This window comes from Homo sapiens, chromosome 13, assembly GCF_000001405.40.
Source record: "Homo sapiens chromosome 13, GRCh38.p14 Primary Assembly".
Lineage (NCBI taxonomy): Eukaryota > Metazoa > Chordata > Mammalia > Primates > Hominidae > Homo > Homo sapiens.
In genome coordinates this window covers 78,951,638-78,963,028 of record NC_000013.11, presented here as the reverse complement: position 1 = coordinate 78,963,028, position 11,391 = coordinate 78,951,638, and positions in this window count along the sequence as shown.

Below are 11,391 nucleotides of genomic sequence, written 5' to 3'. Positions count from 1 at the left end.
CAAATTCTTGGGCCCCACCTCAGACCACTGAATTAGAAACTCCAGAGGTGGAGCTCAGCAGTTTGTTTTAACTAGTTCTCCAGGTGATGCTGAGGCACATCACAGTTGGAAATGGTGAGGTAAGTAAGGAATTTCAGCAGTTCAACTGCTGAAATGTAGATCTTAACAAAGTGCTAAATGAATAGAGGAAAAAGGGATAATTATCTGAGACATTTGGATCTTGTTTCACGAATAGGAGTTCAGATGAAGTTAGGGAGGTCTTTTGAAGTATAGGAAACAAGACATGCAAAGACTGGGGAGGTTAGGAAGACCAGACCTATTTCAAGATATACAATGGCCTAGTGGGGCTTGAGGTAGCAGGGTGCATTCTTTTTCTTAGATATGCTTCCTCCTCTCTGCTCCATGGTGCCACACATGATGCTGGTGATAAAGGAGACTGAGCGAGGGTAAAGATTCACAGTGCCAGCAAGGGCTTGGACATTGGCAGCCTATGGATCAAATTGTGCTTGCAGATGGGCTGTATTTGGTATTTTATTGTACAAACACTATGTATTTGGCATAGCATTATACAAATAAATGTGAACTAACATTTAATAATCAGTTTGGATGTATATATGTGTATATATATTATGTATAAATAACATATATGCTAACACAAAAATATATGTGCTATATTTATATTCTATACAAATAACATATAAATATATGTTAACATATAAAAATATATGTAATATATTTATATTATATATCTTTAAAATCTTCATTTTGGCTTTTCATCTTCATTTTTGGCTTTTCTCAAAGACACGGATGACTTCACCCACATTTTTAACAGTAACAATTTGCTGATTCTAGGAGCAGCTGCTGCTTTTTGCTGGGTCACGTCTTCCCCATTTCTCCGCAATCCCTACAACTCCCTTTTATGTCCACAGTAATTATTACACTCGGACTCTTCTTTTCATACAGTAAAGAAATCGTTCTCCATTTTCATGTCAAAGTCAAAGGTGAGAAAATACAAGAAGGATCAAGAGTGCTGCCTACCTCTTTCAAAACAAATGGGAAAGAGTATAATTTTAGGTGGAGGTCAGGAAAAGAATATTTCTACATGCTTGTTAATAACTCCAAAGAAACTTGTAAATAGAATTTAATAGGAGTAAAAATGAAAAAATGATAAACTCTGACTTGGAAAAACTTCACAAATTAAGTAATAACGGAAAAGGGTATTCAAGAGTGAATAGGAGTTTTTCCAGATGAAAATTAACCCCTTAGATAGTCATCCATTCAATAAAATGTGGAGTCTGAGGCAATTAATCATTTTAGAAGTGTTTAGCTTTTTTTCTGTAATTAAATTAATAATCTCTCATTACGGTGCCACATATCATCTAGCCATGTTGTTCAGGGCTACATTTTAATTACCCTGGCCTGAGGCCCTCCTTGAGCCCAAAGGTGCCTGGAAGTCCTTTTTAATAAGGAATTCATGCTCAAGGCTTGCTGCGATGCCATAGCTATTCACATTTGAAAATGAGCAGTGGAGATACATTCTGTAAATCCAAAGCCTGAGGAAAAATAGTTAACCCAACATGTTCTGAGCTTGTTCATGCTTCCTTGAGGGGGTTTATTGTGAATGAATACTTGGCTATGTCACTAAAATATTTAAAAGAGAAAAGCAAAAAGCACCAGAACCTAACCTTGAATGCATGTGTGTAGACATTCCTTTGAAAGACTAAGGCGAAGTAACCTTTCTTAAGAATCTTGTCTGGCCACTTAAACAGAAGCAGAGCTGGTAGATACTCCTGCCATTCACTAATTGAGAGACTTCTCCAGTTTCAGCAGTGGCTTCCTGTCCTGAAGTGGAGTTTGCAGTTCAGATCCAAATGGACACAAATTCCTTATCGGGGTGCCCAAATATGGGTCCTGATGGCCTGCGCCAAGTGCGGCATGACTCAGTGCACACCTGCTGGAGAGGTCCCCGTGCCAGGGACAGGCTCAAGCACCGCTTAGCCTTGACTGCTTGTGCATTTGTTGTCAAGTGCTTTGCGACTAGACAGGGAGAGTGTAATGGCGTCCCTCATAGCTGGAGGCCTGGAAAGAGGATGTAAGTGTGATTACTGCTGACAGCTAATGCAGCATCACCGTCAGAGCCAGTGGTGGAGATGCTGCTTTTGCATCCCAGGTACTTTGGTTCCCATCCCGGAAAATTTCTCATAGGGAACTGATTGATCTTTCAAACAAAATGACTAAATTAACCAAGTTGTTTCTATCTCTTGTATTTCAGTTCCTCACCCCTAAAACACAAAGACAAATGGCAGTTTGGAGGTAAAATGTTTGCTGAGCAACACAAAGCTTTAGAGTGAATGCCCAAAGATCTTTGCCATCACCTTCTCTTCTGCAGATAATGCAGTGACTGGGAGAGGAGAAGGGGGAAATGTGAGCTGTCACTTATGATTTGCATGCATCTGAATACACATTGTATACACACTAACTCAAAGTGGTTCACGAGATATTCCCATTAACTCGCGGTGATGGCATCTGCATTTTATAATGTCAAAGGAGCTCACTGGAAATAATAGACTTGAGAATAACGTAAGTGTAGAAGAATAAAATAAAAATAAAAAATAAGAAGTAGTGTGGCCAGCTTGTCTACAGCCCCTACCTTTTTGTGCTTTCTCTCCTGAGGCATCCTGGGTCATGCTTCCTTCATGGTCCCTGGATCTGGAAATCTTCACACTGTTCCACATGTAAGCCTCTATTGAGCCATTTAGTTCTAGTTTCAGCTCAGAAAACTTTTCCCTGAAATTTATGCTAATTATGATATCATAATTATTCAAATCTGTAACTGAGTCTGCGACAGTGACTCTCTTATCTTCACGCATAAATTCAACTTGCATTCATTAAGCAGTTATGTGTCAGGCCATATTCCAAGTACAGGAAGTACACGGATAAAGGGAGAAAATAGTAAACAAGTAAACAAGAAATGATCATTTCAAGTATCAAGTGCTGTGATAGAGTAATTAGGGACTAAGAGGTGAAACAGAGGCAGAAGAGGCTTCAGAGGAAATTGAGTACTGCCCATTAGGTAGGAGTATTCCAGAAAAGAAAGTGTGTGAAGAAGAAAAGAGTGCTCAGTTTCATCATCTGCAGTCTGCTTGTGAACTTGGGCAAGGGGGAAGCCAACAGAGACCTTAATAAGAATATTTGGATGGAATGGTGGGAACAAAGGCTTTTCCTGGGGGGAGAATGCAGAAAATAAAAGGACAGGCATCCTGTTTCATTCATCTTTGTACCATTTTTGTACCTCCATTGTCTAATATATAGTAGTCATTTAATAAATGTTGCCTGAATATACAAATTTCCTCGTCCTTTACCCTAGCCCATGTAGACTTGAATTTCATTGTTGGACCCCATGATGTCTTACATAAGTATCTTCCACAGCAATGACATGTGCAGCATTAATTTATTTACTTGGATATCTGCCTGCTACCAAACCATACAATCTTTGAGTGAAGGATTTTATCATATTCGTTGTTGTATCCTGAGACCTCAACACTGTTTCTGGAATATAGGAGTCATTCAGTTAATAAATATTGGATGGATAAATATTTATCAGATAACAATATTTGCATTTTTTTTCTAAAATTAGCTAAAATTTTCAGGCCCAACTAAAGAATAGCCTAAGCCTTGGATATATAGAAAGGAGATTTTAAACACATGTAAGCCTTGAAAAATATAATAAAAATTTTATAAAGGAGAGGCATAGAAAAGCAAAGTTTAGACTTGTTACTTTTAGGAATTGAGTTCATAAACAGACTTTTACTCTAAGAAGAGTGGCTAACATTTATTAAATGCTTTTTTTTTATAGAAACTGTGCTAAATGATGTACTTACATGGACTAGTTTAATTTTCAGAGCAATCTTTTTAGATAAGTAACATTATTAGTCCCATTCTACAGATGAGAAAACTAAGGCTTGGAGAAGATTTACACTTGACACATTTAAAGCCATGTGTGACTCAAGAATGTGAGCTTTTGCCCTGTGCTCATCTTTGAGATACAATTTTTAATGATGTGGACAGGAGAATGCTTCACTCAAGTCTCTATTCAAACTGTTATGAACCTTAGTTTTATTATCAAAAGTCACAAATAGAACAATAATGAAGGAACTATCAGTTACTGTTCACTTATTGGATCCCATACACTGTGCTAAGCACTTACATCCATTAACTCTGTTCTCTGTAGGATAAATATCATTGTCCCCACATACAGATGAGAAAAGTGAGGCACTGGGAAGTTATATACATGTCTTCTAATACTACAGAGATTATTACTGGTTAGGAGGGAATTTTTATCTTTTCAGATCCCCAAGTCCACGAATTTCTACTTTCATGTTATTTTCCCTTATACTGAATTATAGCAGTACCACAAGTACCAAAAAACAAACAAAAACAAAGCAAAACAAAACACAACAGCACCTTAACTTGGGTGAGAAATATCACCAAATGGAACCAAGCGCTGTCCAATAAAGAAGTCTAGAGTCTGTTTTTAAGCAACCAATTTTGCAAAGGTTCTCAGTGTGTCCAAGAAATAAGACAATAGAAAAGTAGATCTATATATGTATAAGGCAATCTCTCTCTCTCTGTCTCTCTTTGTGTCTCTCTCTCTCTTTCCCTTACTCTCTCCCTCTCATGCCCCTCCCTCCTGCTCCGATAGCCAGCTTGGTTCATTTATTTATTTTCCATGTTCTGGACACCTTTGATGAGCCACCCAGCACTGACTCAGCGGAGCTGGACCTTCACTTGGGGCCCAGTTCTCGGCAGCTGCTGCAGCTCTGCGTTTGCCTACAGCGATGTGCCAGCTGTCTCTGACTGCATTACACCACAGTAATGTGAACAACTGGAAGCAATAATGTGTCTCCCCATTTGCCTAACAATACCAACATGGACAATAACTCAGAAGACTGAAGATTTGTGCTGTAATTTAATAAACCCCATGCACATTTCTACAATTGAGTATCACATCTGTGCAATGGATCCTAGAAGTGTAATATTCTTTTATAAGGGACCATTAACCAATCTTAAGTTTATAGGTTTCCTTAAATCTTTTTCATCAGCTGTTAAACTACAGTAAAGAGAAAATTGCCTCTTATGAGACAAGGGATAGTAAAATACAAAGACTGTGATTAAACATCAATCAATTAAGGATTATAATATAATAAAATGCTGACTGATGATTAAAATGAGCACTTTCTAGGAGAATTGTATAAGCAATATTAAGAATTAGTTTTAAAGTCAGTAGAATAAACTTCAATTAGATAACATTATATATGAGTCCTTGCTCTATTAAAACAAGATTCGTAAGAATTATTCCTCAGGTACAAAGATCCCAAAATTGGCATTGAACTTCTGTACTAAAAAGTATTTTTTAGCTTCTCATTTTAATATTCCCTAGTCTACAGAATTTTAAATTTGTTTCTGAACAGAATAAATAACAGCATTTTTGCTTCAGCTAGTTTTCCACCAGTGTATGCAGCTGGGCAACAGTTTATGAAAATGGGTTGTGTAGTAAAACCACCAAACAAACAAACAACATTGCAATTGAGGTAACAAAACACTGACTAGAACTTAGGGCCCCAAAAAGGAGCTTTGGGGCTGTTTATAAAACTTAGCAATCTAAGCTTTCCTGAAATGGTCCCTTATAGAATTTTTCCCTTGAAGGCCAGAACACATGTCTGTCTAGGAAGAGTTACAAGTAATCTAAAACTATTCACTTTATTCATTTTCTGCCTTCCATCCATCACATCTGTAGCCATCATCTTCTCTGCTTTGGGCTGGAGTTATGTTAGAAGATCCAGGCTAATTAGGTCATGTTTGGCAGGGTAGCATGCAAGGAAGACTAACAGAGGCTTTTCCTCTTTGCTCTTGCTGCCATATTTTTTCTCCCAGTTCTCTATTATCCTCCTCTCACTAATATTACTGGCAAAAGTCCTTTTTTCTTTTTTCTGTACTGAGCTACTCCTTCCTCAGACCTTCTCTCCCCTATTGTCTTCCCAAAGCAATTTTCCTGCTACACTGCTTGTACTTGGTCCCTTTGCAACTCTGAGGGCATTCCAACTCCTGCCAGTTTGCAGGAAGCATTTTGAAGCTTGTTGCAACAGCTGGCTTATATGAGCCTTGAAGGACAAGCATGCATACATGTGGCAGCATATTTGAAGCACTAAAGCATCTGGTAAAGTAGGCAGAGACCAAAAGGTGCAGGTAACTCACAGCTTTCCTAGAAACTGCGCTGGAGGAGACTGGCACAACAGTCAGTGACAGAAGCATAATTAATGAACAAATCCCAGTGCAGCCTGGCTTCTGCCCTTATCACTCTATGGAAACTACTCTGGTGAAGGTCACCGCTGACCTTCTAATTACTCAATGCAATAGATGCTTTTCAGTCAATGCTTTTACTAGGCATCTCTGCTGGACGCAGCAGGACAGCTGAGTGACAGGCAGAACATCACACACTCACTAACTTACAAAGCAGGAATTTAAAACAGGTAGGTTTAAGCCCAAGTTCAGGATATTTCTGTTAAACCAAGTTACCTCTCGACAGTTCACAGATATAATTTAAAAGAAGAATGAAATGATGGGGAAATGATGGATTGACTAAACACTTATTTTTTCTTCTTTGTAGAACAGATCTAACGTGACAGTAATGGTATTTTAAGAAGGTATATAGCCACCAGGACCAAGAGAATGGCAGACAACACAGTAAAGAAAAGAGATTTTTTAAAAGACAGAAAGAGGCAAGAACCTAAAGTGCATGCAGGGATTAAACGGAAACCTAAAAATCTGTGATTAGCATCTTAAGAGAGGTAAAATCTGTGCAGACATATGTTGTTTATTGTGCTTCACTTCATTGCACTTCACAAATTTGTGCTTTTTGAAAATTGAAAGTTTGTGGCAACTGTTAAGCAAGTCTAATTGGTGTCATTTTCCCAATAGCATGTGCTCACTTTGTGTCTCTGTGTCATATTTTGGTAAATCTCTCCTTATTTCAAACTTTTCATTATTATTATATCTGTTATGGTGATCAGTGATCAGTCATCTTTGATGTTACTACTGTAATTGTTTTGGGGCATGGTGAACTGCACCTGTATACAATGGCAAACATAATCAGTACATGTGTGTTTTCTTGAGTGCTCCACAGACTGGCTGTTCCCCATCTCTCTCCTACTCTTCAGGCCTCCCTCTTCTCTGAGACACAACAATATTAAAATTAGTCAAATTAATAACCCTATAATGGCCTCTACATGCTTAAGTGAAAGGAAGAGTCACTAGTCTCTCATTGTACAGCAAAAGCTAGAAATAATTAATTTTAGGAAGATGTGTTGAAGGCTGAGACAGGTTGAAAGCGAGGGTTGTTGCTCCAAACAGTTAGCCAAGCTGTGAATGCAAAGGAAAACTGAAAGAAATTAAAAGTCCTTCTCCTGCAAATACATACATGAATGATTAAAAAAAAAAGTAAAATAGCCTTATTGCTAATAAGGAGAAAATTTGAGTGATCTGGATAGAAGATCAAACCAGCCACAACATTTTCTTAAGTCAAAGCCTAAGCCAGAGCAAGGCCCTAACTCTTCTCAATCCTATGAAGGCTGCAAGAGGTAAGGAAGCTGCAGAAGAAAAGTTTGATAGCAGAGGTTTGTTCAAGAGGTTTAAGGAAAGGAGTCATCTCTATAACATAAAAGTGCAAGGTGAATAAGCAAGTGCTGATGGAAAAGTGCAGCAAGTTATCTGGAAGATCTAACTCAGATCATTGATGAAAGTGGCTACACTAAACATGTTCAATGTAGACAAAACAGCCTTCTACTGGAGGAAGATGCCATCTAGGACTTACATAGCTAGAGAGGAAAAGTCAACATCTGACTTCAAAGCTTCAAAGGACATGTTGACTCTTCTTAGGCTAATACAACTGGTGACTTTAAGTTAGCCAGTGATTTTTCCCATTCCGAAAAATCCCAGGGCCCTTAAGAAGTATGCTAAATTTATTCTGCCTGAGCTCTATAACTAGAACTATGAAGTCTGGATGACAGAACATCTGTTTTTACAGCATAGTTTGCTGAATATGTTAAGCCCATTATTGAGACCTATTGCTCAGAAAAAAACATTCCTTTCAAATTATTATTGCTTATTCACAATGCACTTAGTATCCCAAGAGCTTTAATGGAGATGTACAAGAAGATTAATGTTTTTATGCCTGCTAATACAATGTCTATTCTGCAGCCCATGGATCAAAGAATAATTTCCAATTTCAAGCCTTATAATTTAAGAAATACATTTCATAAGACTACAGCGGCCATAGGTAGTGATTTGTGTGACAGATTTGGGAAAAGTAAATTGAAAACTTTCTGGAAAGGATTCACCATTCTAGATGTCATTAAGAACATTCATGATTCATGAGAGGAGGTCATAGTATCAACAGGAGTTTGGAAGAAATTGATTCCAATCCTCATGGTTGACTTGGAGGGACTCAAGGCTCCAGTGGAGGAAGTAACTACAGATGTGGTAGAAAAAGCAAGATAACTAGAACGGGAAGTAGAGCCTGGAGATGTGACCGAATTGCTGTAATCTTATGATAAACCTTGAATGCATGAGGAGTTGCCTCTTATTAATGAGCAAAGAAAGTGGTTTCTTGAGATGGAATCTCACCTGTAAAGATTCTGTGAATATTGTTGAAATAACATCAATGGATTTAGAATACTACATAAACTTAATTGATAAAGCAACAGCAGGGTTTGAGAGGATTGACTCCAACTTTCAAAGACGTTTGACTGTGGATAAAATGCTATTAAACAGCTACACATACTACAGAGAAATCTTTCATGAAAGAAAGAATACATTAACGTGGCAAACTTCATTGTCTTGTTTTAAAAAATTGCCACGGCCACCTCAACCTTCAACAACCACCACCATGGTCATTCAGCACCATCAACATCAAGGCAACACTCTCCACCTGCAAAAAGCTTACAACTCACAAAAGGCTCAGATTATCAGTATTTTTAAGTAATAAAGTATTTTTAAATTAAGACATGTACATCATTTTAGACACAATGCTCTTGCATACCTAATAGACTGCAGTATAGCATAAACAAAACTTTTATATGCACTGGGAAATCAAAAAGTTTGTATGACTTGCCTTATTGGAATATTTATTTCATGCTGGTGATCTAGAGTTTACCTCACAATATCTCCGAGGTATGCTTGTATATACTGCAAAAACAGGGTAAAAACACCCAACAACAACTTGCCTAGCAGAATAGACCTAGGGGACACCAAGTCATGTGGGAAGTACAGGTGAGACTTGGATGAAAAGAATCAATGTCGGTTGAAAGCCTATACACAGAGGAGTCCTGGATCCCCACTCCTTCCCTACAAAATGAAGTCACAATTTCTTTTCACCATCCTAAGAAAAATGGGAAGTTTAGTCACCAAACAAATCCAGCCAGAAAAGCTTCAGACTTGAGGTACGGAAATGAGTAAAACTGGGAGCTGAAGATGAGGAGTGTTCAAATTCTACACAATCAATGGTAGAATACCCCACCTTGCCACCCTGTTCTCCAGTTCTATTTCCAGAACCCCTATAGTCAGAAGTTCTGCTCTTCGCCCCACCCCCTTCAATTCCTAGATTCGTTTTTTTGTTTGTTTGTTTTTGTTTTTTGTTTGGAGAGCCTGAAATGCCACAAAGACAGAGCTTCCAGATACTGACATGAGACAGCCAGGTTGCTGCCTTGTCACCGTACAGTGAAGCTGATATGACTCACTCATGCAGACAGAGCTTCCAATCAGGTACAATAGTAGTTTTGCCTTTTAATTATGAGTGAATGGATATTGACTAATTCCTTGAAAATGAAAAGGCAAAAAACAGAACAAGGAAATTTTGAAATGTCTATCAAGACAAGGAGAAAAAGAAAAGTTAATGTTCTCGGAGAGGTAAGAAAATATTCCACTCATGAAATAAAACTCCCGTATAACAGAAAAAATTATTGAAAATTGAAAATTAAATAGCTACACTGAGAAATGCATTAGAAGGGTTAGAAGACAGCAAATATGAGAGAATAATTATTAGAAAATTAGTAATGTGTTACATTGAGGAGGGACAAAATAACTATAATAAAAAACATGGAGGAGGGAAGGCTGTCAAATTAATAAAGTAACATTTTTCCTAAAACTGTTAAACATGAGTTTCTATTATAAAATGGAAGGGCCCACCAATTCTTCAATGCAAAATTCACCAACACAAAAAACGGAAAATAAATCCTAACCTAGACCCATCACCATGAAATTTTAGAATCCTAGAGATAAATAAGTAATATTAAAAGTGTTAGGCCAGGTGTGGTGGCTCACACCTGTAATCCCAGCCCTTTGGGAGACTGAGGTGGGTGGATCACTTGAGGTCAGGCGTTGGAGACCAGCCTGGCCAACGTGGTGAAACCCTGTCTCTTCTAAAAATACAAAAATTAGCTGGGTGTGGTGGTGTGTGCCTGTAATCCCAACTACTCAGGAGTCTGAGGCAGGAGAATCACTTGAATCTGGGAGGTGGAGGTTGCAGTGAGCTGAGATTGTGCCACTGCACTCCAGCCTGGGCAATAGAGCAAGAATGCGTCTCAAACAAACAAACGAAAGTGTTGAGAGAGAAAGAAAAAAAAGACAACGTAAAAAAAAAATCAGGAATCAACACTGCATCAGCCTTCCTAACAGCAACACAGGAAGCTAATAGACAAAATGTCGCTTTCAAAATTCTGAAGGGAAATGATTTCCAAATCAGAATTTTCTAACCAGTCATGTCTGAGAGCAAACTTAAGACATTTTTACATGTGGCAGGATTTTCTTAGATGCTGGAGCATGTGTTCCAGCAAAGTGAGGAAGTAAATCAAATTCAAACATACAAGAAGAATATCAGAATTTTTCCAGAATATGGAACAGTTCCAAGCAATAGCTCTGTGGCAATGCCAGAAAGCAGAAGAGAGAAGAGGCTGTAAGAGTGAAGTCTCCAAGAGGAAATAATGGAAGCAATACCGTATCCATTTCAATACTTTGAGACAATATTAATAGACATCAGATAGATATATTGAACCACCTGGAAAAAATAAATAAGCATTGGATTTGTAGAAAATTAAGCAAATGAAAAATAATGTGATATTTACTCAGGGAAAAACAAAAGTTGAACTAGAAAATGTCATCATTAAAGTTTACTCCTTGGCTCAAGAATGAAGAATATTCACATTTCATATTAATATAAATGTGGCCTATGGATTTTAACAAAAATGTTACAAATCTATCATAGAAAAGTTCAGAAAACTTTCATCTACCTAACAAGAAATTAAGGAGATAATGTCTACAATATCAGCATGTTATGTA